This window comes from Homo sapiens, chromosome X, assembly GCF_000001405.40.
Source record: "Homo sapiens chromosome X, GRCh38.p14 Primary Assembly".
In the NCBI taxonomy this organism is placed as follows: Eukaryota; Metazoa; Chordata; class Mammalia; order Primates; family Hominidae; genus Homo; species Homo sapiens.
The window spans coordinates 97,463,394-97,479,198 of record NC_000023.11 but is presented as its reverse complement, the minus strand read 5'-3'; the positions used below and the strand labels follow the sequence as shown (position 1 = coordinate 97,479,198).

At 37.9% G+C, this 15,805-nt stretch overlaps 1 protein-coding gene across 2 annotated transcripts in view; it reads right to left on the bottom strand.

Annotated features, from left to right (window-relative positions):
* Nucleotides 1-15,805, bottom strand: part of DIAPH2 (diaphanous related formin 2) — a 920,156-nt gene that overhangs the window by 125,799 nt on the left and 778,552 nt on the right. Inside the window, exon 27 of one of the 2 annotated variants that reach the window (NM_007309.4) lies at nucleotides 9,363-9,505. The exons of the other annotated variant lie outside the window; for it this stretch is intronic. Coding sequence (NP_009293.1) covers nucleotides 9,456-9,505 — 50 coding nt within the window. The 3' untranslated portion in view covers nucleotides 9,363-9,455. Of the gene's footprint in view, nucleotides 1-9,362; nucleotides 9,506-15,805 lie in introns of those variants that run through there. 2 annotated transcript variants of the gene reach the window in all.

Sequence of the window (15,805 nt, the reverse complement as noted above, 5' to 3'; positions counted from 1 at the left end):
CGGGAAGAAAGGATTCAGGAGTTACAGATTTGCTATAGATAACAGAACTGTGATGCACAGTTCATTCTTTCCTGCTTCAAAAAGGAAATATGTAGTATAACTGATTTTGAAGGGAAAAAAAGGGTAAATTGCCTACTTCAAAGACAACCAATTGCTGGAATAGCTTTCAAGTCAGTTTGTAAGTCAAAGCTCTTCTTTCCTTTCTCCTTTAACAGAAAATGTTTGATATACCAAAAAATTAACAAACAAAAAAAACAAAAAACTACCATTAATGTAATTAAAAACAACCAATCACTAGAGTTAAAGAACAATGAGGTACCACGGCATTCTACCATAACCTAACTAAAGATTTAACAGAACAACAAAGAAACTGAAAAAAATGGTAAGAAATTACAGGAAGAAACCAAGATTTTGCATATCTGTTTATTTTTCAACTGGCATTGAATCATCATTAACTGAGCTTATTTTCTCTGAATTAATGGAACTAACATTTAATCTGACTTGCCTAATATGGGGATAGGCTTACTCCTTTCTTATAAAATGTACAAGATTTAAAATTAAAGTAGAAAAGCATCACTTTCCAAGCCTACTGTTTTGGGATGCAGCGAACAATTAACTATGTTTCTACCAATTTATTCAAAATTTCATTCAAAATATTCTTTACATAATTATATTTCTTAGAGCTGTTTAAGAACTGCAATTTCAAATTAGGTGATTTCAAGTACACCTAGATGTGAATTAACATAAATTTTAGCATCATCAACTAGAAAACAGAGCTTCAAAGAAACCAAGTAACATGTTATAGATTAACATAAACAAATGTATATAATCAGAGATTCAAAGACATAGTAGAATGTCACATTTTCTTTGGAGTTTTGAAAAAGAATAAAATTTGACAAATAATGCATTATAATGATCACCTCCATGGATGTCTAAGCATGGGATAGAATTTTTGGCTTTACTAGCAAGAAGAATTACAAATTGAATGTGTTAAGTGTATGCATATCATGCTTCTATGGGGACGATTACACAATTGTGACAATAGCAAAAAACCAACTCTCATGAAATGATCCTCCTTATAAGAAACTTACAATGCAAGCTAACTTTGGAAAACTCCACAAATGAATTAGTAACTAGAAGAGTCACTCTTCCACTTATTACTGACTTAGGCCTGGGGAGCTGAGATTTTTGTCATTTATGATACAGCTGAGAAGAAGAGCTCTTTAGTGTTTTTTTCATTAGAAACTTCATGAAGACCTGTAATTGGACAAGTACCCATTACCTAGGCATTAAATCTAAATTCTATAGTAGTCCCACACTTCACTTCATTAGTCAAACACACATGCACAAATCAATGCAAGATTTCATAAGAAATTTATAGGGAAATATAATTTCACATGATAGTTCATCTTACTGTACTTCAATTTAGTAATTATTTGATTCACCTTCTGAAAACTGTAGAGCTGATTCACTAGTGTAACTTTTTCTTTCTAATACAATGGATTATTTAAACTAAAAAGGATGTGTGTATATATATACATGTATACACACACACACACATATATATATATAGATAGATAGATAGATTTTTTTTTAGACGGAGTCTTGCTCTGTCACCCAGGTTGGAGTGCAATGGCACAATCTTGGCTCACTGCAACCTCTGCCTCCCAGGCTCAAGCCATTCTCCTGCCTCAGCCTCCAGAGTAGCTGGGACTCCTGGCTAATTTTTGTATTTTTAGTACAGACGGGTTTCACCATGTTGGTCAGGCTGGTCTCGAACTCCTGACCTCAGGTGATCCACCCACCTTGGCCTCCCATAGTGCCGGGATTACAGGTGTGAGCCACAGCACACGGCCTATATATATTTTTTGAGAGAGTCTCACTCTGTTGCCCAGGCTGGAGTGCAGTTGCACGATCTCTGCTCACTGCAACCTCCACCTCCCAGGTTTAAGCAATTCTCCCTGCCTCAGCCTCCCAAGTAGATGGGATTACAGAGGCCAGTTACCATGCCTGGCCGATTTTTGTATTATTAGTAGAGATGGGGTTTCACCATGTTGGCCAGGCTAGTCTTGAACTCCTGACCTCAGGTGATCCGCCCACCATGGCCTCCCAAAGTGCTGGGATTACAGGGGTGAGCCACTGCACGAGGCCATAAAAAGGATGTGTGTGTGTATGTGTGTGTGTGTGTGTGTGTGTGTGTGTGTGTGTGTGTGTATATATATATATATATTTTTTTTTTTTTTTTTTTTTTTTTGAGACAGAGTTTTGCTCTTGTTGCCCAGGCTGGAGTGCAATGGCGCAATCTCGGCTCACCACAACCTCCACCTCCCGGCTTCAAGCGATTCTCCTGCCTCAGCCTCCTGAGTAGCTGGGATTACAGGCATGTGCCACCACACCTGGCTAATTTTGTATTTTTTTAAGTAGAGACAGGGTTTCTGCATGTTGGTCAGGTTGGTCTCGAACTCCCTACCTCGGCCTCCCAAAGTGCTGGGATTACAGGCATGAGCCACGGCGCCCGGCCATGTATATTTTTTAAAGCAGTATTACTCATTCAATTGAAAAAATTAATTCTACAGCTCAGGCTTTTTTGAAGTCATATTTCATACTACAAGTTCTATACAGAAGCACTGTTTAAGCTCTTAAATATTGGTTACATTTCAGAATTTCAGTCCTCAGACCCAGAAGACATTTTATTAATTTAATAAAGATTTAATAAAGACATTTAATTAAGATTAGGCAAGATGCAGACATGTATTGTATACAAGGGTGGCAGAAAGGACCTTTAGCGTGCCTCTACATTTGCCATTTTGCTAACATAAACCCAAGCTGAACTTCACTCATTTTTTATGCAAATCCTTGGCTGGGGAGTGGCTTAAGTGTAAACTTACACTTTCTACCACTAATGTGTTAAGCCAGGACTTCTCTTAACTCCGTGTGGAAGGTACAGCTATACTTTATAACCAAATCAAAACACCATAGTCAATTATAGGTATATATTTCATGACTTTAACTAAAATGTGAACATTACTTTTCCAATCTTTATGTTACTGTGATGTGACTGATCTTTAAATAGACCCAAATTAATGAGAAAATATGGACATTTCACTTAGAATGAAAGACTCAGATGATAGGAAATTTGTCTCAAATGTTAATATTAATGTGTTGGGTTCTAACAACACAAAGCTCCAATTAAACTAAATTTTACATATAATATGATGCACATAGGTAGATTTCTAATGTTTTCCTGATGACTCAAGTAGAGTGCCTTATTTTTAAAAAACTGGTTATGTTGTTCACTTCAGGTTTACAATATTAATGCTATTTTGTGATCAATTTGGTAAGCCCTACAATATTTCCCAAAATGACTTATAGATGCAACTTGACAACTCTTTTACTTAGCTAGCATGATAATTAGAACCTAAACTTGCATTTCAGGTTGCCATATCACCTATACAGAACTGACAACAAGCTATTTTCTTGGCAAATACCTGATTGATGGTTCATTCTTAGCATGCTTGGAGAAACACATTAATAAGATAACCCATGTCTTTTTTCACTCTGTAATATCTACAGATGATCTCTATTTCAGATGACTCTAAGCAGCTAAACACGAATAAAAAAGAACACCTTTCTGGCTCATTAAGGCAATTGCTCAAGCTGTCATTAGAATTATCTCTCTGAAAATGCAGTACAGGATGCAGCAGGCCTTGTCTGCTGCAGAAACTAATGGTACAGAGCTACCTTTTGACAGCAGGACTAAATTTACATACTTTACATATTCAGTGAGTAAAGGAATAATTTACAATAATCAAATATGCTATGTTTGGGGCATTTTCTCCTCATTTGAAATACATCTGTCTACTTTGTAAGCCTAGTCATCGACAACCGCATAGGAAATGAATTAATTGAGCCAAAGCAAAAGGAGACCTTTTCTACTTATTTAACCCTACCCATTTTCTATAGGGCAATTGTAAATTATGCCTCAGAAGATAAATAGCAAGTCATGCCTGAAAAGATGAGATGCTCTGGTTTTCATCCTCAGACCTGCTAGGCTGACTACCTGTCAGATAAGGCAGCAGCCAGGATTATGCCTTGAAAAGCTGACAAACCAAGATTTTTATCATTAAATCAAACCTGCTGGGTTTAAACTCTGTGAACTTTAATTATCTCATATTTAATTAGAAGAACTAGATTAAACCAAAAGTGGAGGGTGGGGGGAGGTCCTGGCAAAGGAGAATCAAGGAGTTATGGGGGATGCGGAGACTTCATATCCACAAATCAGATTTCTCATTTCTAATAAAGCAAGGTTTACATTTAGAGGAGATTCAAGGAATCACTGGGCTGCACAATACTAGAAGTTATCTAGTCCATCCCAGAACGATAATCATCTACCCTGTTCTTTATTATTACTATTATTAATTTTTTTTTTTTTTGAGATGGAGTCATGCTCTGTCACTCAGGCTGGAGTGCAGTGGCACGATCTCTGCTCACTGCAACCTCTGTCTCTTGGGTTCGAGGGATTCTCCTGTCTCAGCCTCTCGAGTAGCTGGGATTACAGGCACCCGCCACCACACCCGGCTAATGTTTTGTATTTTTAGTAGAGACAGGGTTTCACCATGTCAGCCAGGCTGGTCTCGAACTCCTCACCTCAGGTGATCTACCCGCCTCGGCCTCCCAAAGTGCTGGGATTACAGGCATAAGCCACCATGCCTGGCCTTACCCTGTTCTTTAAAATCTCTGCAGGAAGAGGTTCTGCATATTTGAAAAGGTTTAAAACTAATAAGGGCACTATAAGTCACTTTACCAGAGAATGAGAAAATGAAAATTTTTATACTTCACCAACTAAAAGATAAAAATAATCTGTTCTCCAGAGGTTGCTTTTATTACTATTTTTCTTTATGTAAGGCAAGACAGCATAATTAACAGTACTTTCAGACTATCTTGTTTCATAATAGAATAGAGTCATAAGACAATGAATTATTTAACCAGTAAGTACTCATTGATGATCTACTCCAGCAGTCGGCAAACTTTCCCTGTAAAGGGTCAGATAGTAAATATTTTAGGCTTTGTGGGCCACAGAGTCTCTGTCACAATTGCTCAACTCTACTGCTGTAGCCCAAAAGCAGGCATAAATAATGTGTAAATGAATAAACGTGGCAATGTTGCAAAAAACTTTATTTATGGAGAGTTGAATTTCATATAATTTTCATGTCACAAAATATTGTTTTTCTTGTGGTTTTTGAGACAGTCTCCCTTTGCCGCCTAGGCTAGAGTGCAGTGGCATGATCTCTGCTCACTGCAACCTCTGTCTCCTGGGTTCAAGTGATTTTCCTGCCTCAGCCTCCTGAGTAGCTGGGACTACAGGAACCTGGTACCACGCCTGGCTAATTTTTGTATTTTTAGTACAGACAGGTTTCACCATGTTGGCCAGGCTGGTCTCGAACTCCTGACCTCAAGTGATCCACCTACCTCGGCCTCCCAAAATGTTGGGATTACAGGCGTGAGCCACTACACCCAGCCCTTGTGATTGTTTTCTTACCATTTAAAATCATAAGAAATATTCTTGCTGGGCGTGGTGGCTCACACCTATAATGCCAGCACTTTGGGAGGCCAAGGCGGGCAGATCACGAGGTCAGGAGTTCAAGACCAAGCCTGACCAACACGGTGAAACCCCGTCTCTACTAAAAATGCAAAAAGTTAGCAGGGCATGGTGGCGGGCGTCTGTAATCCCAGCTACTCAGGAGGCTGAGGCAGGAGAATCACTTGAGTCCAGGGGGCGGAGGTTGCAGTGAGCAGAGATTACGCCATTGCACTCCAGCCTGGGCGACACAGCAAGACTCTGTCTCAAAAATAAATTAATTAATTAATTAATTTTTTAAAAAAGAAATATTCTTAGGTTTTGGACTGGATTTGGCTTATAGGCCATAGTTTGTTATCCAACGGTCTCTTCCACACTTAAGTCACTATGAAGGGGAGAGAAAATGATACAACACATGGCTACTTTTCATAATGGTTGGGAAAACAAGACAAAAATATTTTTTAAATTGGCAAATAATATAAAGCTGCACATAATAAAGGGCTAAAGTGTGTGGGGCATCCCATAGGCTAAAAGAGTCAAGGCATGAGGAGGACATGACTCTATGAGATCTGGAATAGTTAGAACAGGACTCATGTAGCAACTAGTTGTACCAGGAAGAACTAGGTGGACTTATATAAGTGGAGAAAAGAAGGAAAGAGCACTCCAGTTGAGAGAAATAACATAAACCAGGATAGAGAAATGTGAATTAGCAGGTTGCATTTGGGGGAATGTAGGAGAAAGGCCTGTCTAAGCAGAATCAATTGGAGAAATTAATTCAGTCACTCAATAGATAACTATTGATCACTCCTGTGTGTCAAGCATTATGCTAAACACTAGAGATACTGTGATGAGTAAGGCACAATCCTTGTCCTCCAATTGCTCATGGTCTTGTTAGAAGGACAAACAAGCAAGCAATTATAATACAGGATAAGATACTTATACTGAGGTATAAAGCTCCCTGGAAATAACTATGGCAATTTAAAAAATTATGTCAATTCTCAACACTCCATTCATTTGCATTTAAGGTAGAGATCTGTGATTTAAACCATAAAGGGAATCCAAATGCAAAATAAAAATCCCTGTGTGACCCACACAAGGCCTGATCATTTAAATATTCAAACGTAACTGCCTTTCCTAGAGAAACAGCAAAATCACATAAACTTCCTATAAGTGATTTTCGGAAACCCTTTGAAGATTATAATTTTAAAAAGGATTATTATTTTATTAGCTTGATTCACTGCAACTGGGCATTATGTCATTGGTCCTAACAATGTGCATACACCTATCTGTAAACATTTTCAGCAATGAGGTAAATTACTATGGAAAAGCCTGAAAGTGTTTTTTCACCAGAGATCTTTAAGAAGAGGATTTATATCTACCTGCATGAGATGGCTCAGGATCAATAATGCCTAGAGCACAGCATGAATTTTCAACTCTATGATTTGAAATCTCTTAAAAGCATTCCAGTGACTATTTCTACAAATTATATCACTCATTTTTTAAAAATGTAGTAGTGTTATCAGACTTATTTGAGGTAAGAACTAAAAATTCAGCTACAAGTGTTTAGAGCACTATGACCAAAGAAAATCTGAAGGAAATCATAAATCTTTTGCATGAGCCCCTAAGTGAAAGGGAACATTGTAAGGAAATAGCATGCAGGATAGAATTAGACAAACTGGTGTTCAGATTCTGATTCAGCCATTCACCAGCTGCGACCTTGCCCAAGCTACTTAACTTCTCTAATCTTCCATTTCTTCCCCTGTAAACCTGGGAAAAGAAAACCTAATGCTCAGGAATGTTGTGAAGATGCAATGAGATGCTGTACATATGACACCTAGAACATGCCAGGAAAACAATAGGTACTCAAGAAATGTTAAAGTCCTCCACTCTTTCTGTGTTTTTCTTTCCTTTTTTTTTTTTTTTTTTTTTTGAGACGGATTTTCACTCTCGTTGCCCAGTCTGGAGTGCAATGGCGCGATCTTGGCTCACTGCAACCTCCACCTCCCAGGTTCAAGCAATTCTCCTGCCTCAGCCTCCCGAGTAGTTGGGATTACAGGCACACCACCACGCCCGGCTGATTTTTTGTATTTTTAGTAGAGACGGGGTTTCACCATGTTGGCCAGGCTGGTCTTGAACTCCTGACCTCAGGTGATCCGCCCGCCTTGGCCTCTCAAAGTGTTGGGATTACAGGCGTGAGCCACCATGCCCGGCCCATTCTTTCTTCATTGCCAGTTTCAACTCAACTTTTTTAGGCAATGACCCCGAACAACAGGCACAAAGATGTCATTTGTGTGGTAAGTGAGCATAAAAGGGAGAACAGACCTATGTATGTGTAACCTTTCTTCTGTGGTTATTGTGGGTAGCATGTTGTGGGTAGTGTGACTTAACAACCAACTCTGCTATAGAAGGCACCTGTTGAACCTCCCCTTCCTCCTGAATCCAAATATGCATCTGCATTCTCCACTTTCACTCTTTCCTTTTAATGTTCTCTCAGCCATGGACCTCTCCTCAAAAGCCAGGGTCCTTGGTGAGCGGAATAAATAAATGGTGAGAAAGACCAGAGGAAAATATAATTTTCCTAGCGACACCTCCATTTTCTACAATAGTTAAGAAATATTATTTGCTTTTTCTCAGTTCATTTCCAAACTAAGTCTCACACCCTTGGAATGCTGTAATACCAATACTGCCACTTGTGAAGAGTATGTCATTCGGGCTTCTCTATACAGCATTAAAATGAGGCTTCCTCAATAAATAATATATGTGGAAGCTTCTCTGAGCTAGAACAACCATACCTCTTTTGTGCATAGCAACTCCCATGACCTAGAAGTGCTTCCTGCAGTTATGTTCTTATTAAGTTGAATATTTCACATGCTTTGGAGCTGAGAGCCAAGAGCCGAGTCTCTTGCGTGGTTGTTTTTTTTTTTTTTCTTAACACAGTATTGAAATCTTCATTATCTCCAAATATTCTATCTATGTTTGCTACTAAATGTACATGTAGTAGTGCTATTGCCCAATATGATTTCTGAATGGATTAATAATAATATCAATTTTATATTTCCAGGTACACAACTCACAGGATTCTTAAAGTATCTCAATAGTAGAATACGAATATGTAAAGAAATCACTGTGCTATGATTCATATCTGAAGGACTGTGATCCCACATAGGAACATGTAAATAATCAAGGGCTTAGGCAAATGATATAAACACATTTGCACAAGCCTGAATGTATAAACTTCATACATGCAAAGATATAAAAATATACGCATTACATGAGTTATTTGCAATTATGTCTTAAAACACTCAGGGTATTTCTGAGTGTTCAAGTTAATGAAGTTCTTGAAAATATGGATTAATTTAAATATACTAAAATTATATATTACATATATGTATGTGTGTGTGTATGTGTGCATGCACGCACTATATATGGCTAATAACTGGCAAAAAACCATGGCTACCCTAGTGGCTTTTGTCTTTATATAATAGTCACTCCAATAATGACTAGTATACATTTTAAAAACACATTCATAGGACAGAGATCATATGTTAGACTGCTTTTGTATCCCACTTAATGCCTGGCAGAATGTTCTGCACAACACAGTCATCTTGAATGCAAGCTAGAAATATTCATTGTAGACTATATATCTGTTTTCTTCCCAAGTCTATATTTTCTTTCCAGGCATAGATATGGTTAACCATCATGAAATCGGTATTAAGGGGCATATAGCATAAATTTTATCAGAAAGCCTTAGGCAGAAAGAAAAGAGCACCAGACAAAATGAATATCATGTTTCCACTAGAAACTTTTACTACTTGATTATCTTAAAAAGTCATGTTGTACCATCACCCAATCCTGTTTAAAACAGCACTCAGGCCGTTTATGTAGCTGATCTTGGATTAGCCCTTGTTGCACAGGGATGATTTACCACTGCAGAAAAGAAGAAATAAAGAGAAAAATTATTTGAAATGTATAAATAAAAAAACATAATGCACCTAGAACACTGAATAAGACAAAACCATAAACAGCTCATTTATAATACTGATTTAGGATTGTGCTACTGTAACTTAAAATGAGAAGTTCAACAAATTAGGCCACAGATAATACACAAATCTCATATTTATTTCATTAGTTATCATGCAGGTCATGATAAACGTGTCACATAATAAAGGAATGAACTGCGTATTGCCAGCACTCCATCTCAAGCTGCATTCTTGCTTGTTTCTTTGGAAAGTTGTAAGTTAATGAATAGATGCGACTTTCTATGATACGGATGTCCTTCACTACTCGAATCTATTGAATTCAGCAATGAATACATATTCATGAATGTGAACTCTTCTCAAAACAGGGATTTAGACAGTCTATTCCATTAAACATAAGTTTATTTTTCTTCCAGGTGTCAGCTAGGAAATCAACATTTTGGTCAGTGGCCTTTTCATAATGTTTGTCCTAATGGATGCCACCTGGAAAGAAAATCAACTGATATTTAATAGAGTATATTTTCTAAATTTCCATTCTAGGAAGAGTATTATCTTAGGAAGAAGTAATTCATTCTAATTATTAGAAATTAACATAGATTCATAAATACAACTGTAGCTGAATCTGGTGCTAATTAAAACAAGAGTTAAACAAAAACTATATAATTCACTTTATTATACATTCACATTCTATCGATGATAATAATTAGAGTCTATGCTATCATCAACTTGATGTTTTCATAGCTATACTGTTTATCTTGGTCATCCTACTATGGTTTCTATGTATCTGATGAGGCCAACTGTGTTTTCTGTCAGTCTGTTCCAGTTACCTGTGTTTTGATTTAGTGACTTGCCACATGGATATAATGTTTTACAATCATCTAAATGGTTAATATATATTAACTAATGTTTTAGTGTTAAATGTTCACACAAAACCTAATAAACGGTGCACCTCCAAACCTTCTTGGCTTCCTTTACAAGTAATACGATGTTTTTTTTTTTTTTTTTCACAAAGACCTTTCGAATATTCTTCTAGTCATGCTCAATCAGTAAATACACCAAAATCAAACCTAAATAATAGGTTTTCTAGCTATAAAACAATACACGCTTGACAATATGGAAGAAATACAGGAAATAATTTTGTCAAATTTTGTTAAAGCCAAGAATGGGAAATGGGGCGGTAAAGGCCATATGTATGCTAGATTCATATAGTAGTTTCTGTTCTTGATGTTGAGATCAATAAACATCTGAGCACCTTCTATGTTTCCATCACAGTGGTAAAATACTGGGGCTAATGAATATGATGCAAGTCCTTAACTCCTTAAAGACTTATGTACTTTGGACAACCATTCTATCCCATTCATCCTAAGTGACCACAATGATTACTAAGAGCAGCAGCCGTGCTCATAGGTGATGGTGGCCAAAGGCTGACATTCGGAACATTACAATGGGCTAATATTCTACTCTCTCACAAGGGCTGTCTCTTGTATGGACGATATGATGGCAGAAGGGATGCAATGTGGAAAAATCCTAAGTAGAAAAATTTTACTTCTGTTTGTTTTTTAAAAAAGTATTCCCCTGACAGCTTGGTCTGATTGACAGCTCTTACATACTGACCTAATGAACCTTCAGCCTGGGAGCCTTCACACATTCCCTGATAAGCAGTGAACTCAAGTTTTACTGTAGGCATCATCTCCTAAGCCCCAGTGATCTGAATAAACTGGCATGGCCTCCAAATACCACTGCAAACATTTATTGCAGGCCAATCCCAGCAGGAACGTTGTCAAACTGATTTTTCAGCTTTTACAGTCTCTCTGCAAATCAGCCCAAATCACATTGTTCCAGGTTTAGATTAAGCATCTAATTGTGTATCCCCATGGTCTCTGCTAGGATTTTGCAAAGGTGTTAAATTCTGGTATATGAAAACATCACAGAGCCACAAGTGTATATGCAAATTATCTGCTTATTCCCCTGTAGAGTGTGAAAAATATTTTAAAGTTTTTTAAAAAACTGCTGTTCATCTTATAGCTATTTTAGTTGTCTGTTTCTTTCTTACCCATTAGGGCCAATTTGTAAATGTACAATAGGGAAGATGAGACAAAAGGCTGGGGCAGGAATGATTCAGGATCATGATTAACACCAAAGAATATGTCCTGTACAAAGGGAATCCACAAGTCACATTTAGAGGATTCTTCTACATTGTTTATCTTAGGTCTTAAAGTATAATTCCTCAGGAAAAATGCAGAAACCAGGATACTAGTCTACTACAAAGAAGGAAGACTTTGTGCATTTATTTCAAATCTTTGAACAACAACAAAAAGGAATTAGTCTAACTATGACTAGTTTTCTAGAAACAACAGTGACTTACTTTAGAATTAAATGAGCATCACGGGACTGTAACGCATGGAAGCTATAGTTAACATTTTGAGCTTCTGAAACCACTTTTATGATGGACTTTTCCTATCTCATATTCTCAAATTAAATAAAACATTTGTTGCTCTAAATTTGGGATAAAAGGGTGTGTTCATCAGATTATACTACTTACATAGAATTTGAATTTAGCTTTAAATTGTCTTTCATTCCTCTTAGAAACTAGAGTGATGAATCTGGACTAATCTTTTGCAAAAAGTAACCACAGAAATGAAGATATTGTAATCCACAGAAAAAGAAAAAATATACACAATACTTTTCACTTCTTACATAAAGCATATTTAATCAAATGTCTTTGAATTTGTCAGCAATACATATAAACATACCTATACACATATATTCTCTCTCACTCTCAGGCTACAAAGCTACCAAAATAAAGATAGACTCTAAATGCCAACATAAAACCAGGCAAACACAAATGGATTTGGTAAATCTATTTTGCTGAACTTCAACTACCTCCTCTGGGGCTTTGGTCTGTACTTGCAGCATTACTTTTGCATAACTATGGTAAAACAACAGCAAGAGCAACAACAAAAACCAAGATTAATTAACTTGGCTGGTTCAGGGGAGATCTGTGGCAAGGTGTTTTTCCTCTAAAAGCTCTAAATTCATCTAGTTTCCAGTGTGTCCTAAGCATTTCAATCCAATTTTTTCCTATGTGAGCATAAGAAGAGAAGTATACTGACATATTTAGATACTGGGTCACAGTAGGTGAAATAGATGTGAGATAGAATTCTGTTTTTTAATACTTCAGTAAAGAGTCCCACCAAATTGTTTTTTAAGTCTCAAATGCCTAACTATAGATTTAACTGGGTATTTGTATCTTGTATACTTTTTTAAATCTTTGATTCTGTACATAATATGAATGATTTTTTAAACAACCTACATATGTTGGTAAGATCCGTGCTCTTCAAGGTAGTTACTTTAGGAGCTACAGAATTAAGGAATGATTCTATCATTGGCAAAAAACATTTGTGAAGTCCTTCTTTGGGATATCTTTACAGTAGGCCTCACAGCCTTTTAAATAGTTTTGATGACAGCAAGTCTTTGACTTTTAATAGATTTGTTTTACAAAACAAATATTTCAGAGCCAAATCAATAAGTAACCTGGGTAATACTAAAGTTTGGTTAAACACTAGATGTAACTGAAGAAATTATACTGAATTTCTTCTCTAGCTCAAATTCAGGGTACTGCACAACATTCATTTGGATAAATAAATTCTGGCTGGGACCAAGCGTGGTGGCTCATGCTTGTAATCCCAGCACTTTGGGAGGCTGAGGTGGGTGGATCACCTGAGGTCAGGAGTTCGAGACCAGCCTGACCAACATGGTGAAACCCCATATCTACTAAAAATACAAAATTAGCCAGGTGTGATGGTGAATGCCTGTAATCCCAGCTACTTGGGAGGCTGAGGCAGGAAAATCGTTTGAACCCAGGAGTTGGAGGTTGCAGTGAGCCGAGATTGCACCATTGCACCCCAGCCTGGGCAACAAGAGCAAAACTTCACCTCAAAACAAACAAACAAACAAAATTCCGGTTGGTTTGGTAACAAAGGCAATATACCATCATCCCTAGGTATCCATGAGGAATTGGTTACAGAACTTCCTTCAGAAACCAGAAAATTAGCAGATGCTCAAGTTCCTTATATAAGATGGCATAGTATTTGCATATCACCTATGTACATCCTCCCGTATACTTAAAATCATCTCTTGACAACTTAAAATACCTAATAAAATGTTAATGCTATGTAAAAGTTGTTATACTGTATTGTTTAGGGGACATGAAAAAAGTCTGTGCATGTTTAGTACAGATGTCATTTTTAAAAATATTTTCGATATGCCTTTCATTGAATCCATGAATGTAGAATCTACGGATATGAAAGGACAATTGTATTCAGTATAATATAGATAAACGCATAAACGTGTGTGTGTGTGTGTGTGTGGGTGAATTCTAAAGCAAGACAGGATAGTTCATTTTACAAATTAGGAAATGGAGGGCCTGAAGCTAGTGTAGTCCTAGTAAAGTCCCTGGTATACAGTGAAGTGCTTAAAAAATATTTATGTAGCCATGGCCGGGCGCGGTGGCTCATGCCTGTAATCCCAGCACTTTGGGAGGCCGAGGAGGGTAGATCACCTGAGGTCAGGAGTTCGAGACCAGCCTGACCAAAATGGAGAAACCCTGTCTCTACTAAAAATACAAAATTAGCCAGGCGTGGTGGTGCATGCCTGTAATTCCAGCACTTGGGAGGCTGAGGCAGGAGAATTGCTTGAACCCAGAAGGCAGATGTTGCAGTGAGCCAAGATTGTGCCATTGCACTCCAGCCTGGGCAACAACAGCAAAACTCCGTCTCAAAAACAAAACAAAACAACAACAACAAAAACATACATATATATATATTTATGTAGCCAAAATGATGATCTATGGAGAAATACACAATATGCTTTAAAATTGTGTTAGAGTGCTAGGATTATGGGTGTAGCAAACATCAGTCTATTTGCCAGCCCTTCCCATACCCTTCTCAGAGAATCTGCTCTTTCATCAAGTGCCTGGAAAAGGTGACAGTCCTATCACCATGTGATCTTATCTCTGCTCTGGCTGATTGGCCACAGAATGAACACCTGACTTAAGGGAAACAAATTCACAGGCTAGCTGGATCAGTCAGATTCTGTCACAAGAATCTGAACTTGGAGAGACCCATGTCACATAAAGATAGGCACTTGAAGTAAGCAACATACTGTATCATAGTTGTGGCAGTCATGTTCAAACAAAGGAAACCAATGGCGCGATCTGGGCTCACTGCAAGCTCCGCCTCCTGGGTTCATGCCATTCTCCTGCCTCAGCCTCCTGATTAGCTGGGACTACAGGTGTGTGCCACCATGCCCGGCTAATTTTTTTTTTTTTTTTTTTTTTTTTTTTTTAGTAGAGATGGGGTTTCACCGTGTTAGCCAGGATGGTCTCGATCTGACCTTGTGATCTGCCCGCCTCGGCCTCCCAAAGTGCTGGGATTACAGGCATGAGCCACCACCCCCGGCCTGAGAGCAACTTATATTTCTAACTTTTCCATTTTGGTTCCAGCCTAAGACACTCTGTGGTCTCACTGTTGTTTCCTATCCTTGGATGTCCACAAGGTTGCTTATCACATCCTTAAATAAATACCCCTTCACTCAAGCTACCTTATGTAGATTTCTGTTCCATACAACCAAGCAGTGCCTATGACAATGTGGCAGTGGACCTGATTCCTCCCTTTAGTTTGTCAATAAAAAAAATTAGAAAAACAATTTTTAAACTGTTCATGGAATGGCTGAATGCCCAGGGAGATTAAGTGATTCACTTCAAGTCATTCGCACAGTGATGGGTCAAGCATTAGAAACCAGATCTCCTAACTCATCACAGACCCTGGAGTTACATAACCTTGGAAATGTTACTTAACCTCTCCTTGCCTCAGTTTCCCCCACTATAAAAGGGAATATAGTAATAGTACTTAACCTAATAGGATTTTTGTGAGGATTAAATTTGTTATTATATAATACAAATAGTAGAGGCCGGGAGCATAATCCCAGCATTTGGGAGGCTGAGGTGGGCAGATCACCTGAGGTCAGGAGTTCAAGATCAGCCTGGCCAACATGGTGAAACCCTGTCTCTACTAAAAATACAAAAATTAGCCAGGTGTGGTAGTGTGTGCCTATAGTCCCAGCTACTTGGGGGGCTGAGGCAGGAGAATCGCTTGAACCCGGGAGGCAGAGGTTGCAGTGAGCCGAGATCACCTCATTGCACTCCAGCTTGGTGACAGAGTGAGACTCAGTCTCAAAAAAATAATAATAA